The sequence below is a fragment of the Homo sapiens genome, chromosome 11 (genome assembly GCF_000001405.40).
Source record: "Homo sapiens chromosome 11, GRCh38.p14 Primary Assembly".
NCBI classification, from domain to species: Eukaryota; Metazoa; Chordata; class Mammalia; order Primates; family Hominidae; genus Homo; species Homo sapiens.
This window is the reverse complement of record NC_000011.10, coordinates 119,522,197-119,544,026: the sequence shown is the minus strand read 5'-3', so window position 1 is coordinate 119,544,026 and position 21,830 is coordinate 119,522,197. Positions and strand designations below refer to the sequence as shown.

Here is a 21,830-nt window from a genome sequence, read left to right as displayed (position 1 = left end):
GTTAGGTGGTTTCTTACAAATTAAACATACTCTTATCGTAAAATCCAGCAAGCCCACTCTTTGGTATTTACCCAAAGGAGGTGAAAACTTATGTCCACAAAAAAATCTGTACACAGATGTTTATAGCAGCTTCATTCATAACTGGTAAAACTTAGAAGCAACCAAAATGTCCTTCAGTAGGTGAATGGATAAACAAACTGTGGTACATCCTGACAATGGAATATCATTCAGTGCTAAAAAGAAATGAGCCATGATCATGCCTGTAACGCCAGCACTTTGGGAGGCCAAGGCAGGCTGATCACCCGAGGTCAGGAGTTCGAGGCTGGCCTGGCCAACATGGTGAAACCCCATTTCTACTAAAAACACAAATATTAGCCGCGCGTGGTGGTGGGCACCTGTAATTCCAGCTACTCAGGAGGCTGAGACAGGAGAATCGCTTGAACATCGGAGGCAGAGGTTGTGGGGAGCTGAGATCATGCCACTGCACTCTAGCCTGTGTGACTCTGTTGAAAAAAAGAAAAAAGAAATGAGCCATGAAAAGACATGGAATAATCTTAAATACATATTACTAAGTGGAATAAGCCAATCTGAAAAGGCTACATAACATAGGAGATGTTTCTTTCAAGAAGGCATTCTTGAAAAGGCAAAACTGTGGAGACAGCAAAAAGATCAGTGGTTGCCAGTGGTTAGGGTAGAGGAAGGAATGAACAGACAGAGCACAGAATATCTGGGGGACAGTGGAATTGTTCTGTGATGCTTCAGTGATGGATATATGTCATTATACAGTTGTCCAAACCCATAGAATGGACAGCACCAACACTGAACCATAATGCGAACTATGGATTTTTGACGATAGTTGTGTGTTGTAAAAAATAGACCACTCTGGTGCTGGGACGCTGATAGTGGTACCAGGTGAGGAGGGCAGGGGGTATATGGGAACTCTGCTCACTTTTGCCATGAACCTAAAATTGCTCTAAAAAATAAAATCTATTAAAAATTTTTAAGAAATTCACTCTAATGTGTCTATATGTAAGGTCTTTTTCCTTTTCTATCTGGTTCAGTACTCCTTTAATACCTTCTGTCTGAGGGCTTATATGTTTCTTTAGTTCTGGAAAATGTTAAGTCACTTTCTTAAAATATTTTCTCCTTTTTGTGTACTCTTTCATCTGTTTCAGAGACTCATTATAGACACATATAAGTATTTATTAGCCTTCTCCTTCCTGGCCTCCACATCTCTTAATTTTTCAATATTCTTTCTCTCTATCCCTGGGAGAGATTCTTTTTTATTATTTTATATTTTATTTTATTTTAGAGATGGGACCTGACTCTGTCACCTAGGCTGAAGTGCACTGGCGCAACCACAGCTTACTGCAGCCTCGACCTCCCAGGCTCAAGTGATCCTTCTGTCTCAGCCTCCAGAGCAGCTGGGATCACAGGTGATCGCCTCGACGCACTTTTTTTTTTTTTTTTTTTTCCTGAGACAGTGTCTTGCTCTGTCATCCAGACTGGAGTGCAGTGGTGCAATCTCAACTCACTGCAGCCTCTGCCTCCCGGGTTCAAGCGATTCTCCTGCCTCAGCCTCCCAAGCAGCTGGGATTACACTGTGCTCCACCACACCTGGCTAATTTTGTATTTTTAGTAGAAACGGGGTTCCACCATGTTCACCAGACTGGTCTTGAACTCTTCACCTTAAGTGATCTGCCAGCCTTGGCCTCCCAATGTGCTGGGATTACAAGCATGAGCCACTGGTCACAGCCTCCACACATTTTTAAATTTTTTTGTAGAGATGGGGTCTCACTATGTTGCCCAGGCTGGTCTCAAACTCTTGGGCTGAAGTGAGTCTTGGCCTCCCAAAGTGGTAGGATGATAGACATGAGCCACCACACCTGGCCAGGAGAGCTTCTTGACTCTAATTTAACCTCATATCCACATAATTAGATTTAGTTGAAATGAACATTTCCCAGATCTGAGTCCCCAACCCCGCTGGTCTCTGTGCCACAGCTGAGGAAGTCAAGAGGGCTAGGGAAATGTTATTTCCAGGACCTGAGCTCCAGGAGCCATTGCCCCATTCCCTCCTTACCTCATTGCCTCATTCAAGAACATTGATTCCTTTTCTTCTCTGTGCCAGGCCCTATCCTGGGTCCTGGAGGCACTTGGGCCCTGAATAAGTCTCCAGCACTCTCATCACTCTCCTCCGCATCTATGATGCCCCAGCCATGCTGGCCCTCTCCCAGCACCTTAAAGATGATAAGCTTGCTCCCCACATAGGGCTCTTCCACTTGCTGTTCCCGGCGCCTGAAGTGACCTCCTACCTCTCCACCCTTCCAATCTCTGCCAATTTTTGTATTGCTGACAAAAATCAAGGCTCAGTTCTCGTCATTCCAGGCTCAGTTCAAATGTTACCTCCTCAAAGGGCCCATCCCTGACCACTTTGTCTACAGCAGTCAACCCTCTGCTCACTCAGCATTACCATCTTTGCTTTCTTTACACACAGCAGTTACCACTGTAGGAAACTACTTAGGGGAGGCTGCCCTAAGCTGCAGTTACAGACGGGAGGGAATGCAAGGTAATGAGAGAGCCACCGTTCATGTCCATTCAGGGTAATCACAGGCTGGGCCCTCTGTGAGCATCTTACATGCACCACCTTATTTCATTTACACAACTCTGTGTAATGTAGACATTACGGTTATACTCATGTCACAGATGAGATGAGCAGCCTGAGACTTAGGGAGCTGAAGTGGCAGGGTGGCAGGGCTAGAGCGTAGTGGAGTCCAGATTGGATCTGAGTCTGTGTGACTCCAGAGCCTATGTTTGTGACAAATACGAAGTGAGAGGAAGGAAGAGGTACCCATCTCTCTGCTTCTCTTGCACGTGGTACATCTGGATATTTGTCTCTGGAGCTGGCAGGGCTCCATGACATCACCTCAGAGGGCCAGTGCCCGGCATGCCCACTGAAAGGGCAGAGACACCGAGTCTTCCTCTCCGCCCTTCCCCATTTCTCTCCTTCTTACAGCACTCAGTGGTCAGGAGGGGACTCCAAAAGGCCTCCTTTCATTAGGAAGCTGGAGGCAAAGCTTCAGTCCACCCCTACTCGCGGGCCCCCCTTCGCCATGATGAGGGTCCATCCGACCCCTCACCCCAATTCCATATGCTCAGGACACACAAAGGCAAATCAGCTCCCAAGCCCACCAGCTCCATGGCCCTCTTGCCCCACATCCAGAGGGACACCTGGTTCCTGGGTCCTCTGCAGTGGAGAGGCTGTGATCAGAGCAGAACCCAGCCCTCCTAGTCTGTTTCTAGGTGCTCTCTCTAGGTGGGGAGCTTCTGGGTCCTCTGGTCTTTCCTGGTCTTGTCCCTCATAGCCCTTCAGACAGAGAAGGCCAGCACTGCACCCCTGGACAGCCATGGCTGTGTGGGCTGGGGATGCTGGGTTCTGTGGGTTAGGGGTGCTGGGCTGTGTGGGTTGGGAGTGCTGGGTTGTGTGGGTTGGGGGTGCTGGGCTGTGTGGGTTAGTGGGGCTGAGCTGGAGAAGCACAGTGGCTACCTCAGAGCTCCTTTCCCATCCCCCATGGCTCTGACAAGGGCAAAGGAGGAGACAGCAAGGATTCCCAGGCCTCATCCTCCTCCCCACCTGGTGGAGGTTGTTGGAGGAGGCACAGGGAGCTGCCACCAGTGCCCTGGCCCCTGGTCAGGATAGGCCTGGGGAGAACCACAATAGAGCCCTCAGTGGGCCTCAGGGCTGCAGCAGATCTACCGTCTGCAGAGAGCCTTCCCATCTTTCTTCTGTTTCATTATCCTGGCAGCTCTTTGAAGTAAGCAAGGAAGGGAGTGTGAACCCCCTGAGGAGAAGGAGACACCTAGGCTCAGCAAGGTGAACTGTGTGGAAGGCTATACTGCGGCCTTGAATGAGTGCTCCAGCCAGGATGTCTTCTGCTCCCTCACATTAATGCATGTGTGCTTACATGGGTGCCTTGGTCTGCTAGGGCTGCCATAGCACAATACCATAGACTCAGGGGCTTATCCAACAGAAATGGACTTTCTTACACTCTGGAGACTGGAAGTCTAGATCAGGGTGCCAGCATGGCTGGGTTCTGGTGAGGGCCCTCTTCCTGGCTTGCAGACACCACCTTCCTGCTATGTGCTCAAATGGCCTTTCCTCAGTGCATGTGCAGGATGAGAGAGAAAGAAAGGCAGCTCTCTGTGCCTCTTCTTATAAGAGCCCTAATCCCATTCTTGCTGAATGCCAGGGGTTTGACGTAGGTCCAGTTGCTCGCTGCACAGAAAGCCAATCACTGACACAAGTGTTGCTCGGGAAGAACACTTTAAGGCAGGTGACATCAGCAGGGAGATGGGAGACTAGTCTCAAATCTGTCTTCCTAACTGACTAAAGTTAGGGGCTTATATAGCGGAGACTTAGGGAGTGGTAAGGAAGAGAAGTTGATCAATAGGCAGCAGGCTGTCAGATGAAGGGTCTGGTGTCCCATTGTAACCACATGCAGGAAAACAGGAATTAGGGAGGGGTAAGGAAGAGGCATTGATCAATGGGCAGCAGGTGTGTCTCATTGGATGTGGTGGTCTAGGAAATTTGTTTGTTTGTTCATTTCTTTTTCTTTTTTTTTCTTTTTTTTTTTTTTTTTTTTGAGACAGGGTCTTGCTCTTTCACCCAAGCTGGAGTACAGTGGTGCAATCATAGATCACTGCAGCCTCAACCTCCCAGGCCCAAGTGATCTTCCCACCCCAGCCTCCTGAGTATCTGGAGGTGCCACCACACCAGGCTAATTTTTTTTTTAAGAGACAAGGTCTTATTATGTTACCCAGGCTGGTCTTGAACTCCTGGTCTAAAGCAATCCTCCTGCCTCAGCCCCTGAAAATGCTGGGATTACAGGTGTGGGCCACCGCACCAGCCTGTTTTATTTTCTTGATAGTGTCTTGCAGGACTAACAGTTTCCTGAGAAAGGAACTCAAATAAAACAAATGTAAGTTTCTCAAGCTTCAGTTTTATGGGGAAATTGGGCTGGTTTCATCATCATGAGTGCCCTACACTCATGACCTCATCTAACCCTAGTCACCTCCCAAAGGCCCCATCTCCAAATGCCATCACATTGTGGGTGAGAGCTTCAACACAGGAATTCATGGGGGCGGGGATTAACATTCAGTCATAACACCAGGTCTGTGTCTTAATCCATTTGCATTGCTATAAAGGAATACCTAAGACTGGGTAACTTATAAGGAAAAGAAATTTCTTTGGTTCATGGTTCTGCAGGCTGTACAAGAAGCATGGCACCAAAGCATCTGCTTCTGGTGAGGGGTTTGGGAAGCTTCCACTCGTGGCAGAAGACAAACAGAGACATATGTGTAGGTCACATGGCAAGAGAGAAAGCAACAGAGAGAGGGGAGGAGGTGCCAGGCTCTTCCCAACAATCCTGTGGGAACTAAGAGTGGAAACTCATTCACTCCCATAAGAACGGTGCTGAAGGTTCCAACCCCACAACACAAACACCTCTCACCAGGCCCCACCTCCAATATTGGGGATTAGATTTCAACATAAGATTTAGAGGGCTCATATAATCAAACCATGGCTGGGTACAGTGGCTCATGCCTGTAATCCCAACACTTTGAGAGGTCAAGGTGGGAGGATCACTTGCGTCCAGGAGTTTGAGAGCAGCCTGAGCAATGTAGCAAGACCCTGTCTCTACAAAATAAAAATAAAACAATTAGCTGGGCATGGTGGTGCATGCCTATAGTTCCAGCTACTCAGGAGGCTGAAGTAGGAGCATTCCCTGAGCCCAGGAGATCGAGGCTGCAGTGAGCCATAATTGCACTACTGCACTCCAGCCCGGTCAACACAGTGAGACCCTACCTCAAAAAATAAACAATACCACCATAGCAGTGTGCATGCACAGATGTTTGTACACATATGGGCATGCATAAGTGTGTAAATAGGCATTGTGCATGCTTTCCTGTGCACAAGAAGTGAGTGTGAGATCCACATGCAAGAGGATCTGTTTCCCTAGCCTGGCCTCTGTGGCTCTGCTCTGTTGCCTCCCCCCTATCTCTTGCCCAGCCTCCCACTTCAATAGACTCCTCCTCGGCTGAGATCTCTTACAAGCTTTGTTTGTGCTGCCAGGAAGCTCTATGGGCGGCTGTGCAGGCTCACCGTGACCAGCTCACTCACCACTCCTATGTGCTGAGCCTCTGCCTTCTGCTCCACCCTTTCTCACTTCCCTCAGCACAAACAGTAGAAAGTCCACCTTGGATCTGCTCCGCATCTCTACCAAGAAAGCAAGTTCCCTTCTCCATCAATAGTCAGCTAGGACCATCCTCCGAGCTCTGATCTCCTGCTAGCCCAGGGTGGGCTTTCCCTCCCTCCTTACAGAGAACAAGGCTCATTCCCCTGCACCTACAGATTGTGTTTCAGGGAAGCTGCGAGTGCCTCTCACCTCCCTCTATTTGAACACAGCCGTAATCCACAGGCCACAGAAGTGAAGAGGCTGGGGCCTCCTTCATTGCTGTCAATTTTCCAGCAGAGCTTATCTGTGTCTTCACACAGTGCTCTCTTGTCAAAGAAGCCAGGGGCGGTGTGTGACAACCAGGTTAAATAAATGCTGCCTCCCTTCCCTGTCCTGTTACTGAGGACAGCCGAGTGTCTCCTTGGCTTCCACAGATGTTGGTGTATTGTCACCTGTCCTTATTTGATTAGTGTCTTAGAGTGCCTGCGGCCATCTCTTCACAAAAAGACAGCAAGAAAGAGGACATGTCTCCGCTGTTTCCTCTTTGCTGCCTGGGCTGCTGGCCCCAGAACGGCGGGGAAGGTGGGACTACAGGGATCAGGGTGGGGGAATGAAGATGCTTTCAAGGGCAGGGAGGCCAGGGGTTTTAAGGACTGCAAGCCAGGGATCGAGGTCCGTGCATTGTTGATTCAGAAACCCTTTCCAGACATCTTCATATCCATCCTCCATCTGCTGTCCTGACCCATGGTGACCTTTCCAAGCTCCTGCAGTACAAGATGAGAGGGGCTTTGTGTTTTCCCTCATTAAGGAGAACACATGCATCCCAGTGAGTCCTAGTGGTGAACGCTGGTGCTACTGCAATGACGTCCTGGATTCTGTTCCTCTGTGGCCCATGAACACAGATGGAACACACCAGGACTAAGAGCCACCAGATAGAGGACCCGGAAGGGAGTGTGGCCCTTTCCACGTGAGCCCCCTCTCCATGGCTGAAAGAAGAGCTCAGAACTCACTGCCTTCTCACATGGGGTCACTGGCTCCATCCTCATGTCTTATTTAATTTTCTCAGGAGTTCTGTGAGATAGTTGGTAATATTTTCATTTTCCAGATAAGAAGCTAAGGCTCAGGAGGCCAAATGACTTCCTTAAGGTAACATAATCAGCAAGTGGTAGAGCCAAGACTCAAAATTGGATCTTCTGACAACTCCATAATTCAGGCTAATCCTGACATTAGCCAGAAGGGCTGGCCAACACCAGGTTGTGCACAGCCTAATTTGCAAGGTCCATTAAGGACAAAACAGGTCAGGTGCAGTGGCTCACACCTGTAATCTCAGCACTTTGGGAGGCCAAGGCGGGAGGATTGCTTGAAACCAAGAGTTCAAGACCAGCATGAGCAATGTAGTGAGACCCCATCTCTGAAAAAAAAAATTAACCAGGTGCAATGGTGTGCTCCTGTAGTCCCAGCTATGCAGGAGGCTGAGGTGAGAGGATTGCTTGGGCCCAGGAGTCCAAGGCTGCAATGAGCTATGATCACACCATTGCACTCCAGGTTGACTGACAGAGCAAGACTATCCACCAGGATATGGTTTGAATTTGTGTCCCTGCCCAAATCTCATGTCAAATTATAATCCCCAATGTTGAAAGAGGAGCCTGTGGGAGGGGATTGGATCACGGAGGTGGATTTCCCCCTTGCTATTCTTGTAATAGTGAGTTTCCATGAGATCTGATTGTTTGAAAATGTGTGGCACCTCCCCCTCTTCTCTCTTCTCCTGCTCTGGCCATGTAAGACATGCCTGCTTCCACTTCCACCATGACTGAAAGTTTCCAGAGGCTTCCCCAGCCATGCTTCCTGTACAGCCTGCAGAACCGTGAGCCAATTAAACCTTTTTTTAAAAAAAAAATTACTCAGTCTCTAGTCGTTCTTTATGGCAGTGTGAGGAACAGACTAATACAAAGACTCTGTCTCTAAAATAAGAAAAAAAAATTAAAGAACAAAACTGGGAATGAGAAGATCTATGTAGCCCTCTCCAACAGGTGTTTTCTGGTACACGCGTTTTCATTGTTGGGTAGTCATGAACTTGGCTGGCTAATATTAGACATAAGTCCCTAGTGAACAATAGCTATAGCACACACATTCTCACGTACACTCACCAAAGTCTGACACACGCACCCCTATGCCTAGGCATGCATGCATCACCTTCTCATCCCCGACCACCTGCATCCCCTGGGAATCCATTTACATCTACTCAACAGAGCGGGGAGAAGAAGGAGATAAACCTGTATCAACACTGTATTTCTATTCCTCTCTCTCCTTGTGAAAACAAAAGAGGAACAGGGCAAAGCCTCATCCAATGTTTATTGGGAATCATCTCGACCTGATCCCGGGAAAATAGGTCCTTTTCAAATCCATGGTTCAGACGCAGCCTTTCCCATGACTGGGAGTGGGGACAACAGGCTGCTCGCCGGGCTCCGTGGCTGGCAGAGGAACTTGGTGGTAAGGCTTAATTATGATTCACAGAGCTGCATTCTGGAGAGGGTTTAGAGCCACTTAATTAGTGTAGGAATATACAGTCGTAATTATCCTGAAATATGGCCTAATTAACCTATGGAAAAGCCAGGACCACTGCTCGGGGATGCCAGAGACATTAGCAGCCTATTAATATACCCAGTCTGGGCCAGGCGCGGTGGCTCACGCCTGTCATCCCAACACTTTCGGAGGTCGAAGTGGGCAGATCACGAGGTCAGGATTTCGAGACCAGCGTGGCCAACATAGCGAAACCCCGTCTCTACCAAAAATACAAAAATTAGCAGGGTGTGGTGGTGTGCGCCTGTAGTCCCAGCTACTCAGGAGGCTGAGGCAGGAGAATTGTTTGAACCCGGGAGGCAGAGGTTGCAGTGAGCCAAGACCATGCCATTGCACTCCAGCCTGGGTGACAGAACAAGACTCTGTCTAAAAAAGAAAAAAAAAAAAAATATATATATATATATAGCTATGCAGTCTGCTATCTGGCACAGCCTTTGGGGGACTCAGGACTGGGGCAGACAGAGGAGAAAGGGTTTGTCTGGGAAGATGAAATGTTTAAGAGGAAAGTGTGACGTGGGCAGGGAAAGGAGAGGGGAGTGATATTTATTGAGGACTCATAAGGGCCAAGCAATGTTTTAGTCCATCTCTTACTTAATCTTCAAAACAGTCCTTTAAGATTGATATTAAAGTTCAGGGAGGTTCATTAACTAACCCAAGGTTACACGGCCAGGAAACATTCACACTGGAATTCCCCTCTAGGCTGTGGCTGCAAAGGCCATGCTTTTTTCTCTCTTCCACACTGCCTTGGGCAGGCACAACAGGCGAGGGAAATGGACTAAACAGAGGAGAGCCCCTTTCAACCCTAAGGAGGAGGCTCTTCTGCCGTTTTAGAAAAGTGGAGTCATTCAAGCGGTTCAAGCTGTCAGTTGTGTTGTGCAGGCTGGACATTGCACAAACCCTAGGAGTCCCATTCACACAAGCTACAGGGAGAATAATGTCCCCTAGAGGGCACAGTGTATGGCCTGCACGGCCATTCACAGCAGCCCTGGGAGACTGCCCTACATGACCCTTTAACTTTCCTTCCTACCCAAGAGACCACTTCCAACTCTGGCTCTGAGCCCAGATATTGGCCCAAAGCTAGAGAAGCTACCTCTGGGATAATCCTTCATGAAGCAGAATTTGGACCCAGTCCTCTCCTGGGGAGACTCCAGCACCCAGGGACACTCAGACGCCAGGACACAAGTTCAAAGCCCTCCAGGGGGAGCCCGAGAGCCGGGCGTGCGCCGCAGAGCCTGTCTGGCCAGCAGGTTGAGGAATATTCCAACAACGTCCTCATTCTTCCCTGATCAAAGGAGCCAGGATTGAACCTGCTGTAATCATCCGTCGGGGAGTTTGCTTAAAATTCCCCTAATTATGGGAGAGCAGAAAATTGCTACGCCTCAGACTGAATAGAGAAATCGAAGGCGCCCTGCTCCCAGCTGCCTGGGGGGGGAGACACGCCAGCATGGGAACAGAAGGCGGTGGGGGGAGGCGAGGGGCAACTGAGGATGGGCGGTGGGAGAAGAACGGTGTGCTGGTCCATGCCAGGGAGCGGGAGAGGAAGGGAAGGAGCCAGCTGCACTGGGGCTGTGGTGACTGGCTCAGGTGAGGCACACTGCCTCCCCTCCAGACAGAAGGGTGCAGGGGTGAGGAGAGCAGGCCTGTGGGGAAGAAACAGCCAGCAATGCCCCCTCCCATGGCTGGAGCTGGCTTTCTGGAGAGGCTGGGGACCCCCAACTCTGGCTTAGTTTGGACTGCGGGCTCTGGAGCATCCTCCCTGCCAGGGGTGGGGAAGGGAAAGGGCTGGAGGAAAGGTCAGGGAACAGGCCGGCAGGGCAGGGCTCATCCAGGCACCCTGCTGTGGGCTCAGCCCTGTTCCAGGCACACTGAGCGGTCTAGAAGAAGGAGAAGAGGACCAGATCTCTGCCCTCAGAGGGTCTCCTTCTGAAAGGGGAGACCGGGTGAGCATCTTAACCTAAAGTAAGATTCAAAGGCACCGTACACACCAGTGCCTGGCCCTCACAGTTTCCTGAGCTGTAGGAAGCGGATGGGAGTGCACTGAACTGCATGGATCAGAAGGGGAGGCTTGCTGGGCAGGCAAGTGCCAAGCAGAAGGAAGGGGCAAAGGAGGAAGGGACCGGAGAAGGGAGGGAGAATTCGAAGGAGCCATGCAAAATAGAAGGAGATTATGGCGGCCACGTTTTGGATAAGGGGGCCAAGGCCCAGGGAGGTGGGGTTACTTGCCCAAACTCACACAGCCCATCAGTGGCTGAACTGGGGCTCAAACTCAGGTCTCAGACTCCTAGTCTGGTGCATTACACAGCCATGGAGGCAGGGGGTGGGAGTGGGGGTCTGGCCAGAAGGTGGGATGCTGGAAAGAGTGTGGGGACTTGGGCTTAAAGATCCTGCTGCATCAGCAGTCCGTTTACTGACAAGTTGACATTGATTCTACAGGAGAAGCAGTGCTCTAAAGGGTCTCTCCTTTGCTAGACCTGCCCCATTCATGAGCTCTCCGGGGTCCCCACCCCAACAGCTCCCCTACCAGGGAGAGATATACCTGGTGTCCCTCCATTCTCTCACCTGTTTCCAAGGGCCTTCTCAGTTCCTCCTGCAAGTCCCCAGCAAGTGCCTAGCTTTGGTCCTCTTGGGGCCCCAACTACACTATGTTTTTATCACTTACAGTGTGGCGAGGGGTTGAGATCCTGGGGTTGCAAGTTACAGACACCCACTCAAACTAGCATTTCAGCCCAAAGAGGCAATTTACTGAAAGAACTTAGGAGTGTCTTGTAGAAGCTAAAGGCAGGAGTGTGGTGGAGCCTCAGCAAGGAAGGATTGAGGACAGCAAAGCCACCAGGCCCTGGGAATTCCAGGTCACCATCTCTCCTGCACACCTGCTTCATTTTTTTCTGTGGGCAGACCTCATGACCCAAGGTGACCACCCACAGCTCCCAAATGTATGTGGAATAGACAGAGAACTCTCTGAAGAGACTGTCCCTGCGCCCTGACTCCAGTGCCCCAAAGACTGAATTCTCATGGGTCCAGCTTGGCTCAGGTGCTTTTTCTAATCCAGCCAGCATCAATTCAGGGGGTTGGGTCACATTGAACAAATGGCTTCGATGTGCTCACTGCTGTGTGTGAGCAGGATGGATCAGGGTTCGTGGATAGTTGGAGAGTTAACTCCAACAATTGTCCATCAAGGTAGTGAAAACAGGGCTGGGCTGTGGGTGTGCAATGGACAAGGCCTTGGGCCTGGACACGGGGGTGTTACCTGTTGCAGCAGGTGTTCTCCAGATGGTTGAGGCCTTCGCGTGCACCTGAAAGGTGAGTTATTCAGTGTGTCAGATGCTGCAGCTCCAGTGGCCAGCTGTGGTGAGGCAAATCCTCACGTGGAAAACTAGAAATGAAAGGTGGGGGCTTCAGCCTGGCCCCCAGACCTGCAGGTGCCAAGATCCTGATGGGCAGCACCAGGCGAGTCCGGGAAGGTGGGAGCATTGGCACAGGGCCCGCTGGGAAGGCAGACCAGCCCCCAGGGCTCCAGGGTGGTTGTCTGAGGCTGGGAAACCGGTACTTTAAAAACTTGACTATTTTCATGCTGTTTGTATTTGCTGTAATTACTTCCCTTTTGTTCCCCCTTAGTATTTATGGAAGTTCTTTGTGAGAATGCCAGCAGATCCCAGCAGTACTGAGAGAAACCAGCAACGGGGTCTCTATCTCCTCCTGGGCTCATGGTAAGAAAGACAAATCTCCCACAAGCCTGGGAGTGGAGGTGGCCGGAACATGGCTGGACATGGAGGTACTGGAGTTGGGGGGGACCAGGATTGCAGCCAGCAGGGCTCCTGCTCCCCTGGAGGGCCTCTCTTTGAGCTCTCTTTTGAACCTGGGGTGTCTCTGGGCTCCCTGGGAACAAGTCTGTTGTCCTGGACTCGACTGGGCTGGCTGCTAGAACTGCCCACATACTTTCGGCCTCATCCTGGGGGTGGGGGGCAGGCAGCCTAAGCAAGCCACTCTCAGGCCAGGGCTGGGTGTGGACTCCTGAGGAAGCTGCTCCCTGTGATCCTGGGTGCCCCTGGGTGCTGAGGCTGGGAGGAGGGGCAGCAGTGTAACCGTAAGAGGTTTGTTGCCCATTGTGCATGACAAGTCAATATGCTGAAACACCAGGTTACATCAGAGAAAGGGTTTAATTGTAGGGCCACCAAACAAGGAGACAGAAGGAAACCTCAAATCCGTCTCCCCAAGGAGTCTGGGGCTAGGGTTTTGAATGGTTTTGGAGGGGGCCAGAGTGTGGAGATTGTCGATTGATTCGAGTACAGGGTGAAGTTATGGGACAGGGAGATGAAGAAACTGTGTTCTCACCCGGACTCGGTTCCTCTTTAGGGGTCTTCAAAATGATTGGTGTCAGGTGTTTCACTGGAATTCAGGATCTGCTTAAGTAATTCTTAAACAAAAGTCTTATGACTCTAACACCAGATATCTTATCTATAGGAACAACTGGGATGCAAATGGCCAGTGTCAAGTTCTACGTGACTGTCGGTTACAAAGGAGTGGGTCAAGTGCAGCCTGATTAATGCTTATCACCATATTTCTGTCCAGAATTCTTGTTCACCCTGTGAGAACGGCTTCAGCAGTGGCTTGACTGGATTAGCAGAGGTTCTGCCCAGGGTAGGGGGCCCTGCACTGGGACCCAGAGAATGGGAACGCAGACCCCTGGGATAAGTTCTCCCTTGATCCTGGTCTCTGCTGGGTTCCAAGTCTTCCTTCAAGTTCCCCTTCCCCAGCTCTGGCTTTTTGCTGGGCCCCACCTTAAAAACTCAACAAGGGCATCAGAGCCAAGTCAGGCGGGGGGACTGCAGTTCTTCACTGGGTTTGGGGCCAGCTCAGCAGGAGATGGGGACGCCTTGGTGTTAGAGAGAAGTGGTACCTCTGTGATTTCAAGGAGAAGATAGGGTGGAGGTTCATAGTGGCAGAAAGAGCCAGGGATAGAGTCATGAAGTCTTCTGCCCTCTGATATTAAATTATTTGTAAGCAAATTGTCACCAATGCATCCCCAGAAGGTCCTGGCACTGCTCCGTGCCGTGGCCTTTCCTGGCCAGATGGCATTGCCTGGGTGGCTGAGCAGCTCCGAGGAGGAGCGAGGTGTCTGCAGACAGAGAACCAGCAATGACATGGGACATTAGGTGCTGATGGCTTTGCTGAGCAAGAGAATTGCAATTAAGGACATGATGAGTCCCTCTGGGGGCTGTCAGACAAGGGTCCAGAGCAGGGGTCAGGAAGCTGGGGCTTAGAAACAGCAGCTGGAGGAAGGGGTGATGAGAGGGGAACCAGGACAAGGTGTGGGGGTGCAGCCACCGTCCTCTCAGCAAGTCTGCCAACAACAACAACGAGGTGACATAATCATAACAGCACCTGCCCTTACGCACTGCTTAACATGCCCACACTGAGAGGTAGGCAGTTTCATTGTCTCCATTTTACAGATAAGGACACTGCAGATTGGAGGTTAAGAAACTTACCTCAAGCACTTAGATAGTGGAGATGCAATTCTGGCCCAGCGCCACGTGGCACCAAAGTTAGGCCTCACAGCCACCCCACTGTGGTGCCCTTTTCCCAGATTTTCCCCAGGCTGGCTCAGTTGATGCCCAGAGCTACAGGCCAGCACTGCCCCAGCTTGGATCTTGAGGTTTCAGGTGGAAAGTCCTAGGAGGTTGAGCGCTCACCCAGACTTTCTGTCTGCCACCCCGTGGACACCACCTCTCCACCCTGCTGTGGGGAAGGGAGAGGAGGGACATCTGCCTGGATGACAGGCAGAAGCCACTCCAGGGAAGATGGCAGACCCAGGGAGGTGGGAAGGGAGGAGGGGTGCATGCGTCACCTCAGAGCTGGTGTCTGAGCTCCCCATTTGCTCAAACCTCCCACCACAGGGAACCCCCACTCCCGATCCTCCCTCCTTGGGCTTTGTCCAGTGACATCATTGTCAATAACAAGCTCATCCTTATCTAGAACAAGCATACCTGAAGGATGGGCACCTCCGCCACCCACTGCTCAGCCTCCCTCCAGCCCTGCTCATTTGCACATGCCCACCACACCCCGAGGCACCCTGAAGGTCAGCTGATATGTGGAAAGCCGTCGATGAACAACTCTGCCCTTTTTAGGAGCTGTTCATATTTTGCATTCAAAATATGAGAGAAGGAAGAGAAGGGAGAGAAGGAAAGGGGTGAGATGAAATGCGAGGGGGATGAGAAATGAGAGGCTCAGGTGCTCGGGACCAGGCTTCACGGCAGTGCCGGTAGGCAGATGACAAATGTGCTGAGAGAAGGGGAAATAAGAGGTGAGGGAGTTCAGGATGACGCCCAGTTTTGCCCAGAATACCCGTCCCTTCATTCCCAGCAGCCCAAATCTTATCCATCCTTCAAAACCCAGCACAGATGCCACCTCTTCCATGAAGCCTTCTCTGACCTCCACATGAGGCTTTCTTTCTCCCTAAGTACCTGTCCACACTGATCTCATGAACCTTGTCACTTTCTTCCTTGCATTGAGCAAACCTGGCTAGACTCGGAGCTCCATGGGGCAGAGGCCGGGTCTTGCTCATCATCCCCTTACAAGAGCCCCACGACTAAGTGTGGGATACAGTGGGACTGATGGAGAGGAGAGGCTCATGATGATGCTGGACGGGAGGTGGAGTGCACTCAGATCAGAGGACATGGGAGGGGCTCAGGAAACATCAGCTGAAAGGTGACTGAGGAGAGCCACTGCTTGCAACCTGAAATCTAGATTGTATTTGAGGACCAAATAGAAAAGAAGCCTGTTTCCACAGAGTCCGGCGGAGCTGGGAAAGTGAATGCAGTCAACTCATGCCATCTCAAGGTGGGGGGAGGGGCAAGCACAGGCTGCAGGGAGAATAAGCTTTTTGGAAAAACATGCCTCTCACACCCCATGTGGGGTTTTTTGTTGTTGTTATTGTTGTTTTGAAACAACAGTGAGTGACTCTGTCACCTAGGCTGTAGTGCAAGTGGCACAATCATGGCTCACTGCAGCCTCAACCTCCCAGGCTCAGGTGATTCTCCCACCTCAGCCTCCCAAATAGCTGGGACTACAGACATATGCCACCACGCTCAGCTAATTTTATTTCTCTTTTTTTTTTTTTTTTTTTTTTTTTGTAGAGACGGGGTTTTGCCCTGTTGCCCAGGCTGGTCTTGAATTCCTGGGCTCAATCGATCTGCCTACCTCGGCCTCCCAAAGTGCTGGGACTACAGGCGTGAGCCACTGAGTCGCTCTCCCCCACCCCTGACCCATATGGTTTTGATAGGAGCAACAGCAGAAATAAAATCATTTATTTGTTCAACAGTATTTTTATTTCAGATATTCTATTTTCATCTTTATAAATTACATTTGTTTTTCTTAAATCTTCCATCTCTCTTCTCATCATGTTCATGTTTTCCTCTGCATTTCTGAGCATATGGAACATAATCTATAATCACTGCTTTAGTATCCTTTCTGCTAATTTCATCATTTTTCTGTTTCTGTTGATTTTTGGGTCTGTTTCTGTTGATTGATTTTTCTTCTGGTTATAAGCCGTATTTTCCTGCTTCTTTGCATGACTTAATTTTTTTATTAGATGATGGATATTGTGAATTTTACATTGCTGAGTTCTGGATCTTATTCTATTCTTTTAAAGAGTGTTGGACTTTGTTCTGGCTCAGTTATTTGGAATTGCTTTGATCCTTTTAATGCTTGTTTTTAAGCTCTGTTAGACTGAGTTCAGGACAGGCGTCAGGGCTACAGTAGCATCTTCAGGAGGCCTCTATCCAATGCACCAGGTACTGCAAGCACTCTCCACTCACTGGTGGGAATCTGAGCCACAGCCGCATGTAAGCTCCAGGAATTAATTGTTCAGCCTACTGCTTTCTGTCAGCTCAGTGTTCAGCCAAAGTTTTGAGGACCTTTCTACAGGCTTCCCGAACTCTGCCTGCAGCTCCCTTCTCCCCAGGATTCTTCCTCACAGATTCTAGCCTCCTCCAACCCAATCTCCGTCTCACCAACTCAACCACCTGGCTCTGCCAACTTTCTCCAGGCAGTAAGCTGCTGTACTGTGTTGGGGTGGGGTCACCTAACTTGTTTCCCTTCTCTTGGGGCCTACCACCCTATGCCACCTGATGCCCACTGTCTGGAAACAGTCATTTCTTATATTTCTTTCTTTCTTTTATTTTTATTTTTATTTTTTCTTTTTTGAGACAGAGTCTTGCTCTGTCACCTAGGCTGAAGTGCAGTGGCACGATCTCGGCTCACTGCAACCTCCACCTCCCAGGTTCAAGCAGTTCTCCTGTCTCAGCCTCCCGAGTAGCTGGGACTACAGGCACGTGCCACCACGCCCAGCTAAGTTTTGTACTTTCAGTAGAGACAGGGTTTCACCATTGATCAGGCTGGTCTCAAACTCCTGACCTCAGGCGATCCACCCGCCTCGGCCTCCCGAAGTGCTGGGATTATAAGCGTGAGCCATCACACCAAGCCCTATATTTCATCCAGTGTTCAGTTGTTTGCATTAGATGAATAGTTTCTTTGTCCTTTTTTTTTTTTTTTTTGAGCCAGAATCTCACTCTTGTCACCCAGGCTGGAGTACAATGGCTCAATCTCAGCTCACTGCAACGCCTCCCGGGTTCATGCCATCCTCCTGCCTCAGCCTCCCAGGTAGCTGAAATTACAGGCGAGCACTACCACACCTGGCTAATTTTTGTATTTTTAGTAGAGACAGGGTTTCACCATGTTGGCTGGGCTGATCTCGAACTCCTGACCTCAGGTGATCGCTCGCCGTGGCCTCCCAAAGTGCTGGGTAGATGGGCAATTTCTACAGCGGTTAACCCTTCATGGTCAGAAGGGGATGCCTCCTGTGGAATAAATATTGATTGTGGAAATCTCCCACAGGATTTCCACATGTACCAGGCTCTGCTGTAGGTGCTGAGGATGCAGCACAGAACTCAATGGACAGAATCTCTGCTCTCAGAAACCCAATATTCCAGTGGGTGGGGGCAGGCAGTATACAATACCAACAAACAAAATAAATAACTGTGTAGCATGGTAGAAGGCAAAAAGTGCTATGGGGGCAAAATAGAGCAGGGTGAGAGAGAGCCAGGGAACAGGATGACAATTTTAAATCAGGTGCTCAGAGAAGACCTCACTGAGAAGGCACATCTAGGCAAGTGCTCGGGAGGGAGGAAGGGAGCGCCGTGCAAAGGCCCTGAGGTGGCAGCAGTCCTGGCTTGCTCAAGGAGCCCAGTGTGGCTGCAGGGGTGTGCAAGAGAAAAAGGCGAGACAGGGAGACAAATGGAGAGGCCAGCTGCAAAGAGCCTTCTAGGCCACGGAGAATGTGGGCTGTGACTCTGAGATGGGAACAGAGACAGGACATGCTCTGCCCTGGTAAAAGCCTCACTCTGGCCACTGTGTGAATAGACAGGCGAGGGTCAGGAGGTAAGCAGATGGCTTCTGTTGCAACCAAACGAGAGAAGATGTGGGCTTGGGCCCAGCTGGAGCCACAGAGGTGGTGGGAGCGGTGGGGTTCTGACTATTATGTTGAAGGGCTGAAGGAGCAAGGAGGCAAGGGTGACTCCTAAGTTGTTTGCCCTGTTAAATACAATTTATAGGAGGCCAATGGCTTGGTCTAAGCTCCTGCACTGGGCCCAACAGACCAAACCAAAGTGGAGTCATTCATGCCGAAGTTCCACGCCACCAAGCCAGAACTAAGATCTTTATCTGAACTTGGGAGGGATCAGGAGAGAGAGATAATAGCCAAGTCTCCAAACTGGCCAATTTTCATTGGCAAGAAAGGAAGTCCCCTCTGCTTTAACCTTTACAAGAAAAAGGAACTTTGAAATGACAAGTTCACTTTTCGTTCCCTGTTTCTGCTCAGCCTTTTCCTGTCCATAAAACCCACCTCCTCTGGTTAGCTCTTCGGAACACTCACTCTGTTTTATAAAACAAGGTGTCACCTGATTCTAGAACCACAAATAAAAGCCATTTAAGATCTTTAGACTTTTGACAGCCCTGAGGAGCTGCAAGGATGGAGTTGCCACTGGCTTGGTATAGAGAAGGTTGCAGCCAGACAGGCTTGTGAGTGGGTCAGCGTGGCTGTGGACATGCTAGGTTTGAGATGCCTACTGGACCTCCCAGTGGACATATCCCATAAGCAGCTGGACACACAAGTTAGGAATTCAGTGGGGAGATCCCAGACAGTGTGGAGGGAAGGCAGCTGGGGAAGGAGCCTACTGGTGAAGGTCTTGCCTAGTGATGCTCAAACATCACCAGAGAGCTCCTTGCGTTTCCCACTCCCTGGAACAGACTTCAGTCTCCATGAAGTGGCAGGAGCTGGAAAACTGACCCGCCCCCTTCAGAGGCTGGACCATTCCTCCTCTAATTCCAAGAAAGTGGATCCAAGCTACTGAAGGCTGCTGGCCTGGCCTTGTTTTAAATGGACTGCATTCCTACCCAAGAACCACACTCCAGGACCTCCAAGAAGCTGCGCAGGTGGCTGTCCCCCAGGGGCCCATATTCTGCTCTTCACAGAAGTTTCTGGTTCCCATTCATGACTCTGGACAAGATTTGTCCCCTTAGCCCACGGGATGTCTCACGTGGACACCTTGCATTTGACAGGGAGTCTCCCCTAACTCTGCCTTGCCCCTGCTGGCCGGGACATTTGTTGGCTGTTTCCCAAGCAATCTTGGCACATTTCTGATTTCAGCTCCTCTGTACTATGCCTCACCACTGGTGTATGGCTTGGGTGAATATTTCTCCCATGCCCTATAGAGAGAAGGTCCAATAGCCCTGGGATCTGGAAGTCCTTCAAGATATCTAACCTCCATCCCTGCTGCTTTTCCCCTTCGTCCTTTCATTCTCAGCCCTCCAGCTGGAACCCTCACCCTTTTGCTTTCTCCTCGCCCATGGCTTCTGTCCGCCTCTGTTTCTTGCCCCTTCCCTTTGTCCTTCGGTGTCTTTCATGCCTCTCCGCCCCTCTGCATGCCCTCTCCTCCGCTCCCTCACCTCACTCAATCATTCATCTAGACCATGAGTTGAGGGGAGTGGAGGTGGAGCTCCTGCTGACTCTGGTAAAGGTCCTCTTTCTTCTCTCTTCACCCTGGGGAGGCCCGAAATTACCTTGATGGCTCCAGAGTCTGCCCCGCTCCAGGATGCCCCCTTGTCCTCAGGCACCGCCACCTCCTCCCCACCCTGGTCTGCAGCTGTGCCCTGCTGTCCCCACGCTGTCCTGGCCTGGCAGGAGGTAGAGCTGGTCCCTCAGGAGGCTAGCGCCTACACCTCCACAGCGACCACATCTCCTGCTCCCCGGCCCTTACACACACACACACACACACACACACACGCTCACGCATGCTGCTCCTTAAGTGATGGTAAGGGCAGTGGCCAGGTGATCCATCGCTCCCTCTTCTTCTCTTGCTGTGGTAAAATATGGACAGCGGGAACCTCGGGAGAAATGAGGCATGAAAATTAATCTGCTTTACAATCCTCATGAATATTTAAAAGCTCATGAATATGTAACTACATTTCTTTTCTCCTCCATTAGTGTCTGCTTTTGAGTTACTCTATAGCTCCCTCTGGTTCCTTTGGGGGCTGGTTGGCTAGACTGATTTTTAAATTGGGTTTACAGGTGCCTATAGCTCCTGGGTTCCCTCCACCCCCAATCCTGGGAAGAGAATTTGTCCCTTTAAAATTCCCCAGGAAAGCCTGGCAGAGGGAGACAGAAGCAACCCTGTCCTACCTCACACTGTGGGGACCCAGATGGGTTAGTGAAGGTGCTTTGGAGTGTCACTCACAGAGAACACCCTTTTAAGGATAAACCACCTTTTTCCGCCATGGACCTTGGTTCCCCTTTATGACAATAGCAGGCCCTTCCTGCTCAGCCATCATGAGTACCTCAGGGCCTTAGTCCAGGGTGGGCTTGAAAGGCCAAGAAATTAGGTAGCAAAATGTTACTTTCTTCCTACTTAGAAGAACCGAGTATTGGCCGGTTGTGGTAGCTCACGCCTGTAATCCCAGCGCTCTGGGAGGCCAAGGCGGGCAGATCACTTGAGGTCAGAAGTTCAAGACCAGCCTGACCAACATGATTCAACCTCATCTCTACTAAAAATACAAAAATTAGCCAGGAGTGGTGGCGCATGCCTATAATCCCAGCTACTCGGGAGGCTGAGGCAGGAGAACCGCTTGAATCCAGGAGGCAGAGGTGGCAGTGAGCTGAGATCACGCCCTTGCACTCCAGCCCGGGCAACAGAGTGAGACTCCACTTCACAAAAAAAAAAAAGAACTCAGTATTAAGATAATGGTATGGTACTCTACAGCCATCTCCTGGCCCCTGGAACCAGCCACTACATCTAGAACAACCCTCGGAACACCTCCCACCTCTGGGCACCTCCCTGGCCCATCCACTCCTCTTTGGCTACTCCAGGAGCCAGCCTCACCCACTCCAACCATCTGGAGCAGGGGAAGGAAGGCTCTTACCCACCTACCCACAGCCATCAATCACCACAGAGCAGAGCAGAAGGAGCAGCAGGGCATCTTCCCAGAGCAGCAAGATTTTTCCTGGAGCCTGAGGCAGAATCCAGCATTGACCTGGCATCCTGTCGAGGGAAGGCTGGAGCCTGGCTCGGTGGGGGAAGGCGCCATGGGTCGGGGCAATGGGCTGTGGGAGCCATCCATCCCCACCTTCCAAAACCCAGCCTAATCTGGTGGCAGAGTGCACTAGAGGTCCCAAAGCCCGGCAGCCAGCCAGAGAAGTCCAGGTTGCATGGTGGCCTAGAATTCCAAGTCAGATGGAACGCTGCTGACCAAAGTGCTCGCCCCATGCCTGTCTTCAGTCCCTCCTTCCCATCCTCATGTCACACCGTTTTGATCTTATTTCTTCCCTTGTAATGACCCTCAGGGGCTCCTTAATTTCTAGCATATCAAATTCATACCTGACCTTCTATTTCAACTGCCAGCCATCCCAGGCCCCTCATCCACTCCTGGGTTTACCCAAACTGAAACACTCACCATCCTAGACCACTCATC

The 21,830-nt window shown here is 50.6% G+C and overlaps 1 annotated feature.

Annotated features, from left to right (window-relative positions):
• Positions 9,841-10,370: an enhancer, noted in NCBI's record as "H3K4me1 hESC enhancer chr11:119404367-119404896 (GRCh37/hg19 assembly coordinates)". NCBI's record gives its function as "activates a minimal SCP1, AML or CMV promoter by ChIP-STARR-seq in primed H9 embryonic stem cells {active_cell/tissue: H9 hESC(primed)}" and the evidence as "EXISTENCE:reporter gene assay evidence [ECO:0000049][PMID:30033119]".